Source organism: Homo sapiens, chromosome 1, assembly GCF_000001405.40.
Source record: "Homo sapiens chromosome 1, GRCh38.p14 Primary Assembly".
NCBI lineage: Eukaryota > Metazoa > Chordata > Mammalia > Primates > Hominidae > Homo > Homo sapiens.
Window position 1 is genome coordinate 621,993 of NC_000001.11, and position 16,344 is coordinate 638,336.

The 16,344-nt window shown below is 44.3% G+C and overlaps 1 long non-coding RNA gene, 1 other non-coding gene and 7 pseudogenes across 2 annotated transcripts, besides 6 other annotated features; 7 read left to right on the plus strand and 2 right to left on the minus strand.

Moving 5' to 3' along the window:
• Positions 1 to 5,387: 5,387 nt before the first annotated feature.
• Positions 5,388 to 7,017, minus strand: LOC101928626 (uncharacterized). Its single transcript, NR_125957.1, has 3 exons — positions 6,927 to 7,017; positions 5,969 to 6,231; positions 5,388 to 5,831 (listed from the first exon to the last, which is right to left on the minus strand). It is a non-coding gene; the product is annotated as an uncharacterized LOC101928626 (long non-coding RNA).
• On the plus strand, positions 7,070 to 7,448 carry MTND1P23 (MT-ND1 pseudogene 23; annotated as a pseudogene).
• Positions 7,161 to 7,904: an enhancer, noted in NCBI's record as "OCT4-NANOG hESC enhancer chr1:564533-565276 (GRCh37/hg19 assembly coordinates)". NCBI's record gives its function as "activates a minimal SCP1, AML or CMV promoter by ChIP-STARR-seq in primed H9 embryonic stem cells {active_cell/tissue: H9 hESC(primed)}" and the evidence as "EXISTENCE:reporter gene assay evidence [ECO:0000049][PMID:30033119]".
• Positions 7,648 to 8,694, plus strand: MTND2P28 (MT-ND2 pseudogene 28; annotated as a pseudogene).
• Positions 7,905 to 8,648: an enhancer, noted in NCBI's record as "OCT4-NANOG hESC enhancer chr1:565277-566020 (GRCh37/hg19 assembly coordinates)". NCBI's record gives its function as "activates a minimal SCP1, AML or CMV promoter by ChIP-STARR-seq in primed H9 embryonic stem cells {active_cell/tissue: H9 hESC(primed)}" and the evidence as "EXISTENCE:reporter gene assay evidence [ECO:0000049][PMID:30033119]".
• Positions 8,819 to 9,419: an enhancer, noted in NCBI's record as "OCT4 hESC enhancer chr1:566191-566791 (GRCh37/hg19 assembly coordinates)". NCBI's record gives its function as "activates a minimal SCP1, AML or CMV promoter by ChIP-STARR-seq in naive and primed H9 embryonic stem cells {active_cell/tissue: H9 hESC(naive and primed)}" and the evidence as "EXISTENCE:reporter gene assay evidence [ECO:0000049][PMID:30033119]".
• On the plus strand, positions 9,082 to 10,624 carry MTCO1P12 (MT-CO1 pseudogene 12; annotated as a pseudogene).
• Positions 9,846 to 10,455: an enhancer, noted in NCBI's record as "OCT4-NANOG hESC enhancer chr1:567218-567827 (GRCh37/hg19 assembly coordinates)". NCBI's record gives its function as "activates a minimal SCP1, AML or CMV promoter by ChIP-STARR-seq in primed H9 embryonic stem cells {active_cell/tissue: H9 hESC(primed)}" and the evidence as "EXISTENCE:reporter gene assay evidence [ECO:0000049][PMID:30033119]".
• Positions 10,117 to 10,411: a silencer, noted in NCBI's record as "tiled region #5852; K562 Repressive DNase matched - State 24:Quies". NCBI's record gives its function as "represses a minimal TATA promoter and a strong SV40 promoter by Sharpr-MPRA in K562 cells {active_cell/tissue: K562}" and the evidence as "EXISTENCE:reporter gene assay evidence [ECO:0000049][PMID:27701403]".
• Positions 10,623 to 10,693, minus strand: MIR12136 (microRNA 12136). Its single transcript, NR_162149.1, has one exon. It is a non-coding gene; the product is annotated as a microRNA 12136 (primary transcript).
• On the plus strand, positions 10,765 to 11,446 carry MTCO2P12 (MT-CO2 pseudogene 12; annotated as a pseudogene).
• Positions 11,543 to 11,749, plus strand: MTATP8P1 (MT-ATP8 pseudogene 1; annotated as a pseudogene).
• On the plus strand, positions 11,704 to 12,384 carry MTATP6P1 (MT-ATP6 pseudogene 1; annotated as a pseudogene).
• Positions 11,767 to 12,742: an enhancer, noted in NCBI's record as "OCT4-NANOG hESC enhancer chr1:569139-570114 (GRCh37/hg19 assembly coordinates)". NCBI's record gives its function as "activates a minimal SCP1, AML or CMV promoter by ChIP-STARR-seq in naive and primed H9 embryonic stem cells {active_cell/tissue: H9 hESC(naive and primed)}" and the evidence as "EXISTENCE:reporter gene assay evidence [ECO:0000049][PMID:30033119]".
• On the plus strand, positions 12,384 to 12,930 carry MTCO3P12 (MT-CO3 pseudogene 12; annotated as a pseudogene).

The following is a 16,344-nucleotide window of genomic DNA, read 5'->3' on the forward strand; positions in this document are numbered from 1 at the left end:
GATGCCAGACCATGCACTGCGGATGCCTTCCGCCTTAGCACTAGTGGGCTAAATGATGACTGCCTTGCTGTCCCAACACCACCCATCAAAGGGAAGACATCACCACTGGGGTCAGTACAGCCCAAGTGACAAACTCTATTCCCTCCTTTCTCTCCATCCCATGGACCCTTGATTTGCTAAGTGGGAAGACACTTTCTCGTGGTTCAACATCACCTAATCTGCACAATTGCTTCTGCAGGCTAATTCAGCCAGAAACCCTGGATATCTGGGCAGAAGCGCATGGAACTTTTAGAAGGATTACTACTGCTTTTAATATTCCCTCTGTCTTGAGTCAGACCACCACCAAGATCAGAGTTAATATTATATATCAAAGTCCTGCCATCAGCCTGTAGGATTTATTACTAGCATCTCTCCACTTCAGAGCTATGGGAACCAATGGAATTGGATCTAAGGTTTTGAGTTGGCTCTTGTGCATGGAAATTTGATGCAAACACTCTAATTTATTGGCCCTAAAGGGCTTTGGCAAGTCATTTTGGCAAGTCACCCACTGAACACAGAGTGAAATTTGCAGAGGTTTCCCCTCTGCTCGAACAGTGGTGTTCTCAGCACGTACAGGGAAGTTCTGCCCCCTTCCAGCCAGGTGAGCTAGGGGATTTTGCCTACCCTTTCTGAACCTCAGTTTTCTCATCCATAAGATGGGAATAAAAACATGGTCCTGGATGTATGTCTCATGCTAGGCACTGAGGCAGGGTACTCTCTCCCCTGAATGCCTTGCTATTGATGCATCACCAGTAAGGCATGCATTCATTGCACAGAAACTTAGGCATATGCCTACCAACATGCCCGATGTTGTGTGAGGCCTGACCGCTGTGAGGATGGACTTCCATCTGTGTGAATGGATTCATGAGACCAGCCCTCACTCTCAGGACTGAGGGCATTGGTGCTCTAACTTGTCTGAATATGGAATCAGCTGGAGAGATTCTGTAAATTACCAGTCCCATTCCACCCCTGAGATCCTGATTTCATCGGTCTTATTTCATTGCAGCCTGGTCGTTGGGATGTTTAAAACTCTCCCTAGGAATTCCAATGTGCAGCCAAGTTTGCAACTACACGGAGCCAGGTTAGTGGTGCGGTCAGCATGGTGATAATTGGGCTCATGAACCCATGACCTCAGCTTCATCAGGAGACCCACTGTAAGTACTGGCCCAACAGGAGGGAAAGGAGCTGAGTCAGATGATACCACTGAGGGGCATGAGCAAATGAAAAAACAGGAACCCAGCCATGAAGCTCGGCCTGAGTGTTGGAGATGCCACTATAGAGACCCTGGTCTTAGCAATCCAGACTTTTCCCCAGCAGAAGGGAGAGGCGAAGATTATCCTGGCCAGGACTGTGTAAGGCCTTTGAAGGTTGACCATCCATCTCACCCTGCTGTTTCCCTCCTTCCCTGCAGAACAGCCGTTCACCTGAATGTTCCAGGCTTTTGGTTAACAACCCCTGGTCTTTTGTACCCATTCACACTCAAAATCAGGGGGAATTCCTTGAAATGGTTAAAATGCAAAAGTGAAATTTAGAAGCCCTATGAATGAAACAACAATCCAACAAAAAATTCCCAACACTTTAAGCAAATGCTTTTCTGGCAGAGCCTTCAAATTGCTACTGTCCCACTATCTTCTGGAATCGTGTGTGTGTGTGTGTGTGTGTGTGTGTAGAGCAACAGGTGAAGCAGCAACCATAAGGTAGCCTACTTCAGGTCTGGCACCTCTTTTCACTGCTGTCATGCCCTCTTCACTGAGATCCTGACTTAAATATGTACACATGTGAATGCTGATTTCTTAGCATGAATTTTAACTCAGCTGTTGCTCGAGCATCAATGATTCCCAATTCCCATCAGAGTGAATGGCCCCTTCCTGGTCTCTGCAGTCAGCCCTCTGAAGCTGCTCAGCTGAACCCCTGGGAGCTGAGGGGCCAACTCTGACTCCCAAGAAGGTGACCTCTATCTCCCTTCCAGGGCCAGAGATGCAACATCACACACACACTGTCTTTGGAATGTGTGATTAAGCTTTTGGCTGCCAGTAGCCTGACAGCTTCCAGCAGCTTTGTCTGCCACCGTGTCCACTTCTCTGTGCCAAAGTCACTGAAACAAAGGGACTGCAGATGTTGCTGTGAAGTCTTTCCGATTCTCCAGGACAGAGGAAAGCACTACATTGGGTGGGGGGTGGAGTGGGGATGATGGACTGTGGGAAACCTGCATGATGGGCATGAAACAATAAAAATGAAGCTGATTTTCTTCATAGCACTTGCTGCCATAGAGATACATTTGTTTCTGTGACCCTCTCACTGGAATGTAAACTCCCTGAAAGCAAGGACTTGGCTTATTGCTGTATCCCAAGAGCCTGACACAGTGCCTGGCACATGGTAGACACTCAATAGATGTTTGAGATAGGGAGGGAGGGAGGCAGAAAGGGAGGGAGGCAGAAAGGGAGGGAAGGAAGGAGCAAGGAAGGAAGGAAGGAAGGAAGGGAGGGAGGGAGGGAGGGAGGGACATAGACAGTGGATTTGGATAGACTTGGCTTTAATCCTTTCTGTAGCAATTCTAGCTGTGTAAAAATACGCGAGTGAGTCATTTATTTTCTTTGAGTCTCTTTCTTCATCATAGTACCAATTAACAGGGCTGGGGTAAAGAGTGATACATGTAAGGTTGCTAGCACTATTGGCAATCAAAACATGAGAGCTACTTATTTACATTGTGAGTATTGCTACTACTGATATTATCATTTCTGGACATTACTAATGATGTGAGCACTGGCCTTTCATCAGAGATTACTGGATAAGGAACATTTACCGTCTTGTCTCTGCTCATTGTGCTAAAGTTCCTTCTTTATCCAACAACACTTTCTCCTGTTTTCCCAATTTAGTGAAAGGATTAATCTTTTCACTCTCATTCTTCCTGTTTTGTTTCCCATAATATGGGTCCCATCCTTCCTCATGAGATGGGTATCTCAGCAATTGAGCCCACCCCACCCACATATTTGACCCTGATCCAAGACCCTCATTTCTGGGAATGAACCCCAGATCAGCCATGATAGAGGATAGCCTGGTTTTATCTTTTTGCTTCTGAGCAGGATCCAACAATTCTCATAAAATTTTCCCCAGCCTGTTCAGTGGAATTGTCAAAGCATCATTTTCAAAAAGTGAAAACATGATTCTTATATAAGTCTATAGGGAGTGTGTATAAAGATCTGTTTACTTCACAAAAGAAAGAACCAGAGGATGGTAAAGCTGTTTGAAAAGAGAATTGGAAGGAGAAAGATTTGGATAGACCATCAGAAACAGCATGCTGACATAAGTTTGCTAATTTGGAAACCTCACTCATTAATGTCCTGTGGAGCAATAAAATCTTTTTACAGGACAAAAATCATTTGTATCTCTACCAGACAAAAATTAACATGTAACTTGGCAGAGTCTGGGCCCTAATCAATAGTAAATAGTAAGTCAAACAAAAGTACCTTCCCTTAGAGAGTTAAAAAAAGCTTTGGTGGTTTGTTAGGCAACCTTCCAGTATGGCATTAGAAAGACGTGCAGTCATCCTATTTTTACTTCCAAGTTTGGGATACTTTTTTTTTTGAGATGGAATTTTGCTCTTGTTGGCCAGGCTGGAATGCAGTGGCATGATCTCACCTCACTGCAACCTCCACCTCCCTGGTCCAAGCAATTCTCCTGCCTCAGCCTTCCCAGCAGCTGGGATTACAGGTACACACCACCACGCCTGGCTAATTTTTGTATTTTTTAATAGACACAGGATTTTACCACGTTGGCCAGACTGGTCTCAAACTCCTGACCTCAAGTGATCCGCCCACCTTGGCCTCTCAAAGTGCTGTGATTACAGGCATGAGCCACCATGCCTGGCCAAGTTCAGGATACATTTTTAAAACAAAATTGGTCCCCCTCAGCCTGGTGGATGTCCCTGCAGAATTTAAAAATACTATTATGTTCTAGATGTCTGATGCTGTCAATTCTCAATGGCCAGAAGAGGGCATCTGCCCAGATCAGTTCAGGTGTCTATCCCTGGTCTGATCGCCTGTGCCCACGGTAGCGTATCAGGTACACGGCGCTGTTTCTTCCCTGCTATTGGTAGAACAGCTTTTCCAAGAAGGGGATAGGCTGGAATGGAAGAAAAGAGTCCAAAGAGGAAGGAACCACAACAGAAAGAGAATTGCTTTCCTTTCAGTTGTGGGAGCACCAGCTTAATGCCTCTTTTCCACATTTGCCCAGCAGAGGAAATGTTTGGGCCGAATGACAGAAAACCTAGGGTAGCCTTTTTGGTGCCTCCTGACAATCACAGAAGCAGGCTGGGATCCTACCCAGGTATGGCAGAGCAAGTGAGCCCACCTAGGTGGGAATCCTTACCCTCCTAATCCTGCAGGTTCACTTCACAATCTTGTGTAGACCTTAAACCATTGTTTAGACAGTTATATGAAATGGGGTATTTTCTAGAGAAAAGGACAGTGAATGGGGATATGGGGATTTTTTTTTTTTTTTTTTGAGACAGAGTCTCACTCTGTCGCCTAGGCTGGAGTACAGCCATGCTCCCAAGCCATGCTTCCTGTATGGCCTGTGGAACATAGAGTCAATTAAACATCTTTCTTTTTTTTTTTTTTTTTTTTGAGATGGAGTCTCGCTCTGTCACTCAGGCTGGAGTGCAGTGGTGTGATCTTGGCTCAATGCAACCTCCACCTCCAGGGTTCAAGCAATCCTCCTGCCTCAGCCTCCTGAGTAGCTAGGATTACAGGTGTGTGTGTGTGTGTGTGTGTGTGTGTGTGTGTGTGTGTTTAGTAGACACGGGGTTTCACCATGTTGGCCAGGCTGGTCTCTAACTCCCGACCTCGTGGTCTGCCCACCTCGGCCTCCCAAAGTGCTAGGATTATAGGCATGAGCCACCGCGCCCGGCCCACCTCTTTTCTTTATAAGTTACCCGGTTTCAGGTAGTTCTTCATAGCAATGCAGACTAATACAACTACTTTGAGTCTCACCTTTCCTTATTTGGAAAAATATTTCCATTGAAGTGTTATGGTGAAGATTCAATACAATTAAATGATATAACATATGTAAAGGGCTTAGCAATAACCCAATGGCTAATAAGCAGCCAAGGAGTGGTAGCTCTCAGTATAGTCAGCCTCTAAGAAGAGAGCAAATGTTTATTTTCAAGAAGAATTATGCAGAAAGGGCCACTTTCAGTCTACCATCCCCCCAGATTCCTTGAAGGCAGGATGATGTGAGCAGCAAGGGAAGAAAGGGGAGTGGGCACGAAATACTACAGAACCTGCAGGGAACGAAGTCCCTCTGTCTGTGTGTGCCTATATCAATAACTTAAACTTACACATTCATGAGATGCACTGTGTTTATTAGGATGTACATGTGTCCCTAAGAATCTGAGAGCTCCTGAGAGACAGAGACGGTGTCTTACTCATCTGCTCTCCCCAGGTCCTCGCTTACTACCTGGCACTTATTGGGTAATAAATGTCTGTTGAATGCATGAAAAAAGAAAGGTAGGAAAGGTGTGAAGGAGAAGATGGAGGTCATGACCAGTAGAAATCTCAGCAGTTCTGCCTGGGCTCCATGTCATCTCCCTGCTATTAGGCCCATCAGAATGTAAGCACAAATGCCTAGAGAATGACAAGCTTCTTTGGGACTCTGCTGACTAGACATGACATAAGACTGGACAGCTCCTGGGGAACTTCCAAGAGCTGGCTCCAGGCAGTGACTAATCCTAGGAGCTGCTGGCTTGGCTGCCTCTCTCCCTTCCTTATTTCCAAGATTGGTCACCTCCTGCTCTGAAATAGCAATTGATTTTCAGACATGAGTTGATAGAACCATGATTTTCTAATACTGTTCCAAAGAGGCTAAAGTACCTCTGAGGAGCAGTGCAGGCTAGGATCAAACTCTCCCTACCTTCCACTCCACTCCCTACCTTGCCCCTCCACCTCTGCCCACTTTCTATTTCTTCAGGCACAGCAGCTTCTACCTTATGGATTACAAATTCTGATCATCTATGGTTGCATTAGGAAAAGAGTACTGCTACTTTCATTTTCTTTTCTAACCACTGCCCTAGAAGAATAACACCTCACATTCTCTGGTAGACTGAAGCCTGCAGCTGCAAGGATGCTCAGAAAACCAGACTTCTATTCATTGGCCACTTGCTGCACGCTCTGTCCCTCGATCCTTGCAACGTACCTTTGAGGTAGGCACAAAAATTCCCATTTACAAGTGAGAAAACCAAGGCAAAAGAGGTTCAGTTTATTTCAGGCTCAAATGTGCTTCCAATAGCTTATAGCCTCTACAGCTAGTGTTTGAACCCAGGTCTGAAACAAATAGGATTGACAAGGGGAGGGAAAAGAGGAACAGAAATTCTTTTCTATAAGACAATTGTTTATGCAGCCAGGATTTCTTAAAATCCAGTTTGTGCCTACGGACATAATCTTTGAATTTGCTTTGTTTCTCGATGAATAACTTGGAAGCTATTCAAATAACTTGGAAGCTTCCTTTAAAAGGAACATCAGGAGGTGATTTTTGACTAACCCTAGGTGTCCTTTCTGAGCCAAATAGATTTTCAAATAAGAAAATGAGAGGACATGAGCTTGAGGAAAATGATAGGCATTCCAACCTCATCCGCTTGCTGACGACCTCCACGTGATTTCAACAATGATTTCAAATATTTCACTTTTTAAGTCAGTGTGACTTAAGTATGAAATTGCCTCTCCCTAAAGCTCCCCTAAGGCCTAAACAGTCGTCATTACCATAGCTGTGACAGGGAGACTGTTGAATTTATAATCTATTGGCCATTCACAGCATAGCGTATAAACCTAGCTCATGATTTCTTTGCAATAGAAGTGTACTTTTTCATCACATTCCCTTCACAACTTACTCACCAGATCAGACTTTGAGCTCTCCTCCTGGCTTAGCCTGGATCGTTTGAAATGGTCATCCATCCTTTGGCCCCAATACCTAAACTAAGGTCTATGAACAATAAGATGATTTTCTTCAGTGGGACTTTTTTGTTTAATATATTAGATTTGACCTTCAGCAAGGTCAAAGGGAGTCCGAACTAGTCTCAGGCTTCAACATCGAATACGCCGCAGGCCCCTTCGCCCTATTCTTCATAGCCGAATACACAAACATTATTATAATAAACACCCTCACCACTACAATCTTCCTAGGAACAACATATAACGCACTCTCCCCTGAACTCTACACAACATATTTTGTCACCAAGACCCTACTTCTGACCTCCCTGTTCTTATGAATTCGAACAGCATACCCCCGATTCCGCTACGACCAACTCATACACCTCCTATGAAAAAACTTCCTACCACTCACCCTAGCATTACTTATATGATATGTCTCCATACCCATTACAATCTCCAGCATTCCCCCTCAAACCTAAGAAATATGTCTGATAAAAGAGTTACTTTGATAGAGTAAATAATAGGAGTTTAAATCCCCTTATTTCTAGGACTATGAGAATCGAACCCATCCCTGAGAATCCAAAATTCTCCGTGCCACCTATCACACCCCATCCTAAAGTAAGGTCAGCTAAATAAGCTATCGGGCCCATACCCCGAAAATGTTGGTTATATCCTTCCCGTACTAATTAATCCCCTGGCCCAACCCGTCATCTACTCTACCATCTTTGCAGGCACACTCATCACAGCGCTAAGCTCGCACTGATTTTTTACCTGAGTAGGCCTAGAAATAAACATGCTAGCTTTTATTCCAGTTCTAACCAAAAAAATAAACCCTCGTTCCACAGAAGCTGCCATCAAGTATTTCCTCACGCAAGCAACCGCATCCATAATCCTTCTAATAGCTATCCTCTTCAACAATATACTCTCCGGACAATGAACCATAACCAATACCACCAATCAATACTCATCATTAATAATCATAATGGCTATAGCAATAAAACTAGGAATAGCCCCCTTTCACTTCTGAGTCCCAGAGGTTACCCAAGGCACCCCTCTGACATCCGGCCTGCTCCTTCTCACATGACAAAAACTAGCCCCCATCTCAATCATATACCAAATTTCTCCCTCATTAAACGTAAGCCTTCTCCTCACTCTTTCAATCTTATCCATCATGGCAGGCAGTTGAGGTGGATTAAACCAAACCCAACTACGCAAAATCTTAGCATACTCCTCAATTACCCACATAGGATGAATAACAGCAGTTCTACCGTACAACCCTAACATAACCATTCTTAATTTAACTATTTATATTATCCTAACTACTACCGCATTCCTACTACTCAACTTAAACTCCAGCACCACAACCCTACTACTATCTCGCACCTGAAACAAGCTAACATGACTAACACCCTTAATTCCATCCACCCTCCTCTCCCTAGGAGGCCTGCCCCCGCTAACCGGCTTTTTGCCCAAATGGGCCATTATCGAAGAATTCACAAAAAACAATAGCCTCATCATCCCCACCATCATAGCCATCATCACCCTCCTTAACCTCTACTTCTACCTGCGCCTAATCTACTCCACCTCAATCACACTACTCCCTATATCTAACAACGTAAAAATAAAATGACAGTTTGAACACACAAAACCCACCCCATTCCTCCCCACACTCATCGCCCTTACCACACTGCTCCTACCTATCTCCCCTTTTATGCTAATAATCTTATAGAAATTTAGGTTAAATACAGACCAAGAGCCTTCAAAGCCCTCAGTAAGTTGCAATACTTAATTTCTGCAACAGCTAAGGACTGCAAAACCCCACTCTGCATCAACTGAACGCAAATCAGCCACTTTAATTAAGCTAAGCCCTTACTAGACCAATGGGACTTAAACCCACAAACACTTAGTTAACAGCTAAGCACCCTAATCAACTGGCTTCAATCTACTTCTCCCGCCGCCGGGAAAAAAGGCGGGAGAAGCCCCGGCAGGTTTGAAGCTGCTTCTTCGAATTTGCAATTCAATATGAAAATCACCTCAGAGCTGGTAAAAAGAGGCTTAACCCCTGTCTTTAGATTTACAGTCCAATGCTTCACTCAGCCATTTTACCTCACCCCCACTGATGTTCGCCGACCGTTGACTATTCTCTACAAACCACAAAGACATTGGAACACTATACCTATTATTCGGCGCATGAGCTGGAGTCCTAGGCACAGCTCTAAGCCTCCTTATTCGAGCCGAACTGGGCCAGCCAGGCAACCTTCTAGGTAACGACCACATCTACAACGTTATCGTCACAGCCCATGCATTTGTAATAATCTTCTTCATAGTAATACCCATCATAATCGGAGGCTTTGGCAACTGACTAGTTCCCCTAATAATCGGTGCCCCCGATATGGCGTTTCCCCGCATAAACAACATAAGCTTCTGACTCTTACCCCCCTCTCTCCTACTCCTGCTTGCATCTGCTATAGTGGAGGCCGGCGCAGGAACAGGTTGAACAGTCTACCCTCCCTTGGCAGGGAACTACTCCCACCCTGGAGCCTCCGTAGACCTAACCATCTTCTCCTTACACCTAGCAGGTATCTCCTCTATCTTAGGAGCCATCAATTTCATCACAACAATTATTAATATAAAACCCCCTGCCATAACCCAATACCAAACGCCCCTTTTCGTCTGATCCGTCCTAATCACAGCAGTCTTACTTCTCCTATCTCTCCCAGTCCTAGCCGCTGGCATCACTATACTACTAACAGACCGTAACCTCAACACCACCTTCTTCGACCCAGCCGGAGGAGGAGACCCCATTCTATACCAACACCTATTCTGATTTTTCGGTCACCCTGAAGTTTATATTCTCATCCTACCAGGCTTCGGAATAATCTCCCATATTGTAACTTACTACTCCGGGAAAAAAAGAACCATTTGGATACATAGGTATGGTCTGAGCTATGATATCAATTGGCTTCCTAGGGTTTATCGTGTGAGCACACCATATATTTACAGTAGGAATAGACGTAGACACACGAGCATATTTCACCTCCGCTACCATAATCATCGCTATCCCCACCGGCGTCAAAGTATTTAGCTGACTCGCCACACTCCACGGAAGCAATATGAAATGATCTGCTGCAGTGCTCTGAGCCCTAGGATTTATTTTTCTTTTCACCGTAGGTGGCCTGACTGGCATTGTATTAGCAAACTCATCACTAGACATCGTACTACACGACACGTACTACGTTGTAGCCCACTTCCACTATGTCCTATCAATAGGAGCTGTATTTGCCATCATAGGAGGCTTCATTCACTGATTTCCCCTATTCTCAGGCTACACCCTAGACCAAACCTACGCCAAAATCCATTTCGCTATCATATTCATCGGCGTAAATCTAACTTTCTTCCCACAACACTTTCTCGGCCTATCCGGAATGCCCCGACGTTACTCGGACTATCCCGATGCATACACCACATGAAATATCCTATCATCTGTAGGCTCATTCATTTCTCTAACAGCAGTAATATTAATAATTTTCATAATTTGAGAAGCCTTCGCTTCGAAGCGAAAAGTCCTAATAGTAGAAGAACCCTCCATAAACCTGGAGTGACTATATGGATGCCCCCCACCCTACCACACATTCGAAGAACCCGTATACATAAAATCTAGACAAAAAAGGAAGGAATCGAACCCCCCAAAGCTGGTTTCAAGCCAACCCCATGGCCTCCATGACTTTTTCAAAAAGATATTAGAAAAACCATTTCATAACTTTGTCAAAGTTAAATTATAGGCTAAATCCTATATATCTTAATGGCACATGCAGCGCAAGTAGGTCTACAAGACGCTACTTCCCCTATCATAGAAGAGCTTATCATCTTTCATGATCACGCCCTCATAATCATTTTCCTTATCTGCTTCCTAGTCCTGTACGCCCTTTTCCTAACACTCACAACAAAACTAACTAATACTAACATCTCAGACGCTCAGGAAATAGAAACCGTCTGAACTATCCTGCCCGCCATCATCCTAGTCCTTATCGCCCTCCCATCCCTACGCATCCTTTACATAACAGACGAGGTCAACGATCCCTCCTTTACCATCAAATCAATTGGCCATCAATGGTACTGAACCTACGAATACACCGACTACGGCGGACTAATCTTCAACTCCTACATACTTCCCCCATTATTCCTAGAACCAGGCGACCTGCGACTCCTTGACGTTGACAATCGAGTAGTACTCCCGGTTGAAGCCCCCATTCGTATAATAATTACATCACAAGACGTCTTACACTCATGAGCTGTCCCCACATTAGGCTTAAAAACAGATGCAATTCCCGGACGTCTAAACCAAACCACTTTCACTGCTACACGACCAGGGGTATACTACGGCCAATGCTCTGAAATCTGTGGAGCAAACCAGTTTTATGCCCATCGTCCTAGAATTAATTCCCCTAAAAATCTTTGAAATAGGGCCCGTATTTACCCTATAGCACCCCCTCTACCCCCTCTAGAGCCCACTGTAAAGCTAACTTAGCATTAACCTTTTAAGTTAAAGATTAAGAGAACCAACACCTCTTTACAGTGAAATGCCCCAACTAAATACTACCGTATGACCCACCATAATTACCCCCATACTCCTTACACTATTCCTCATCACCCAACTAAAAATATTAAATACAAATTACCACCTACCTCCCTCACCAAAGCCCATAAAAATAAAAAACTATAACAAACCCTGAGAACCAAAATGAACGAAAATCTGTTCACTTCATTCATTGCCCCCACAATCCTAGGCCTACCCGCCGCAGTACTGATCATTCTATTTCCCCCTCTATTGATCCCCACCTCCAAATATCTCATCAACAACCGACTAATTACCACCCAACAATGACTAATCCAACTAACCTCAAAACAAATGATAGCCATACACAACACTAAGGGACGAACCTGATCTCTTATACTAGTATCCTTAATCATTTTTATTGCCACAACTAACCTCCTCGGACTCCTGCCTCACTCATTTACACCAACCACCCAACTATCTATAAACCTAGCCATGGCCATCCCCTTATGAGCGGGCGCAGTGATTATAGGCTTTCGCTCTAAGATTAAAAATGCCCTAGCCCACTTCTTACCACAAGGCACACCTACACCCCTTATCCCTATACTAGTTATTATCGAAACCATCAGCCTACTCATTCAACCAATAGCCCTGGCCGTACGCCTAACCGCTAACATTACTGCAGGCCACCTACTCATGCACCTAATTGGAAGCGCCACACTAGCAATATCAACTATTAACCTTCCCTCTACACTTATCATCTTCACAATTCTAATTCTACTGACTATCCTAGAAATCGCTGTCGCCTTAATCCAAGCCTACGTTTTTACACTTCTAGTAAGCCTCTACCTGCACGACAACACATAATGACCCACCAATCACATGCCTATCATATAGTAAAACCCAGCCCATGGCCCCTAACAGGGGCCCTCTCAGCCCTCCTAATGACCTCCGGCCTAGCCATGTGATTTCACTTCCACTCCACAACCCTCCTCATACTAGGCCTACTAACCAACACACTAACCATATACCAATGATGGCGCGATGTAACACGAGAAAGCACATACCAAGGCCACCACACACCACCTGTCCAGAAAGGCCTTCGATACGGGATAATCCTATTTATTACCTCAGAAGTTTTTTTCTTCGCAGGATTTTTCTGAGCCTTTTACCACTCCAGCCTAGCTCCCACCCCCCAACTAGGGGGACACTGGCCCCCAACAGGCATCACCCCGCTAAATCCCCTAGAAGTCCCACTCCTAAACACATCCGTATTACTCGCATCAGGGGTATCAATCACCTGAGCTCACCATAGTCTAATAGAAAACAACCGAAACCAAATAATTCAAGCACTGCTTATTACAATTTTACTGGGTCTCTATTTTACCCTCCTACAAGCCTCAGAGTACTTCGAGGTTAAAATATTAGATATTTCCCCTGATACAGGGCTCAATCTTTTTCTTTTTAAAGCAATATTTCTCAAAGTACTTTTCACAGAACTTAAGTTTCATTAAGCACTTCACTAAAAGAAAAGTCTGTGATCTAATAAATTTGGAAAATATTGAGAATTAGAGCCCCCTCTTAGATATGTACTGTAGCTACTCAGCTTGTTACAGATGAAGTAAACATTGTAATATTCACCCAGCTTTTGAGTGATGTCTATTAACATCACCCAAATGAGTATTCCATGGAATGCACTTTGCAAAAACCTATTATTCAAGAAAATTCTGGAGCATGAAAGCTATTAATGATAAACCCATTCACAAAATCACACCAAATATCTAAAATCATGTTTAAAATCTCCTAGAAATGGGTTGAATTGCCCACTTCAGAGACAAAGTGATTCTTTTGTAATAACGAGTTTTGTTTAGTGAGTACTTATTATCTCATTGAATCCTGAGGACTACCTCACAAGGTAAGTATAGCTCTTTTCATTACACATGACAAACAAGGCTCAGAGAGGTTAAGTAACTTGCTCAAGATCACAAAACTGCAGAGTGACAAAACTAGAATTTTGAATCTAAGCTCAAAAGGTCACCAAACCAAATTTGGGTCCACCCACCCAGCCTATCAAAGTCAAGCACTGATATCGGCATTGCTGAGACAGAAGTTGAGGAATTTATTGCAGGCAGCAAGCAAGGAGTATCAGGCAGCTAATCCTTAAGGCCTAATCTCCCTGATGGCTTATGTGTAAGGGTTTTTAAAGGTGGGAAGGCAGAGGTTGCAGGCAAGGTCATACAATACATGGAGGCTACATATTGGTTTGGCCAAAAAAGGCAAAATATCTCAAAGTGAGGGCCCACAGGATAGGTGACCATTAGATGAATTCAAAGATTTTCTGATTTGAGACCAGGTGCAGTGGTTCACACCTGTAATCTCAGCGCTTTGGGAGGCCAAGGTGGGTGGATAACTTGAGGCCAGGAGTTTGAGACCAGCCAGACCAACATGGCAAAACACCATCTCTACTAAAAATACAAAAATTATCTGGGCATGGTGGTGTGCACCTGTAATCCCAGCTACTCAGGAGGCTGAAGCATGAGAATCGTTTGAACGTGGGAGGCAGAGGGTTCAGTGAGCTGAGATCGTGCCACTGCACTCCAGCCTGGGCAGCAGAGTGAGACTCTGTCTCAAACAAACAAACAAAAACCCAAAGATTTTCTGATTTGTGATTGGTTAAGTTTTGGCTACAAACTTGGGGTCAGCAGAAAGGAATGTTCTGCTCTGGCCTGTGGGTGTGACTTCCTCCAGGTCCCTCAGGAAGAAATTTAGAACAAAGAACAGTTGTGAGTGTTCAGTCCTCAGTTCCTCCTTATCTGAGATCTACGAGCCAACAGGTGGTATTTTCCATTTAGCGGGGTCTGGGTTTCTACAAAACAACTCAGGGACATATGTTAAGATGTTATCTCTAGTTTCTATAGGGAAACAAACATTTTGTGGCTCTAATTTTCTTTTTTTTTTTAATTATACTTTAAGTTTTAGGGTACATGTGCACAACGTGCAGGTCTGTTACGTATGTATACATGTACCATGTTGGTGTGCTGCACCCATTAACTCGTCATTTAAGATTAGTTTGTGGCTCTAATTTTCTTGACTATTGTTTTAAGCTATTATTACCTTCTTACTTATCAGGGTGCTCATCTACTTCTTGAGGCTAGCCAGGTGGCTGGAATTTTCCTTGGAGGGACTCAAGAGTTTCCTTTATTTTTCATGCCTTAAATGGGTCTGTTCTCCCTCTTCAAAGCTCAAGCTCTTAAGGACTATGCTATTGTTAGATTTTTCGTATTGGAGCAGTCCTTCCCTCCTACTCAAGAACACCCCTTCTTCAGACAGCCTGGCTGGGTCTTCATCCTGGGAGAGCTCATGAAACACAAACCAGATCTTGGCCCTCACGTGTGTCTAGGCAGAGCTGAGCCTGGGCAACACCAAGCGTGCCCCCAATTTTGCATGCCCCAGCCAATTCAGAGTCAAGATCCACGCTCAGCTCCTTCCCTGCAAAGTGCTAATGATGAAGGATGGGGATCAAGTCAGCAAACTCCAGAAATGGTCTTAGACTAGGAGTCAAGCCTTGAGATCCTATTACACACCAGATTCATTCCCTGATTAGAGCTGCTGAATTCTTTTACTCTCACTGCACTCATGCTAAAGTTTCTTTCCTCCAGCCTCATAACCCCAGAGGAGGCTGAGCCATGATACCCATTGTCTAGCAATAAATATTTAAGGAGCCCCTGAGATATGTCAGGCACCATCGCAGGTGCTGGGACAAGTGAATGTGACCAGGAAAGTCCCTCCCCTCTCAGAGGTTCTTTTCAAGTTGGAGGACAGCAAATACAGAAATATAGAGTCTAACATAACAACAGGGAGTAATAAACACTTTGAAGAAAAATAAAGTGGAATAAGAGGGTAGGGTTGCCATAGGGTTCTCTGGGCAGTCTTCTATGGAAAGGCCACTTGTTGGGGCAGAGAAAAAAAAGATGTCTGAAAGGAGGACTACCGGCCCCCCATAAGTGCGCTCCGGTCCATGCACAGGGCAATGGGCATGTAATTTCCTATGATTAAGACCTACAGTATGTACAATATTACTGCAACAGACACTGAGACTGACTTAGCATTGTTTCATAGCATCCGAGTTGCTCTGTTGGAGGAAAGTGCATGTGATGGGCATTCATTTGCTTCCGCCATCAGACAGATTCTCTACCTTTGTCTTTCCTACAAGATTCCCTAGGAAGGCAGGGCTCAGTGGCTCATGCCTGTAAGCCCAGCAATTTGGGAGTCTGAGGCAGTCAGATCACAAGGTCAGGAGTTCAAGACCAGCTTGGCCAACATGGCGAAACCCCGTCTCTACTAAAAATACAAAAATTAGCTGGGCATGGGGGCACGTGCCTGTAATCCCAGCTACTCAGGAGGCTGAGGCAGGAGAATTGCTTGAACAGAGACCCGGGAGGCAGAGGTTGCAGTGAGCCAAGATCGCACCACTGCACTCCAGCCTGGGCTACAGAGTGAGACTCTGATAAATAAATAATAAATAAATAAATGATTCCCTAGGAAGCTGACTCCCACTGAATGTGCCACTCAGGAGTCCCTGCTCTCTAGATTACAGTTGAGTTTGCTCAATGCAAGGCCCCAGCAGAAATGTTGAAAGTAAGAGCAAATAGATAGTTAACCACTCTTTAAGACAACAATGGATGTATACTTCTCTGGCCTCAGCTCCTGTGGGGAAGCTCCAGTGCCAGTCCCTGGGTGCTTCACCATTTTCCGTTAGTTCCTGAACCTTGTAAACTGACCCTTCACTAAATTCTTCCTAGTTAACCCTTTGAGAATGAAACCATT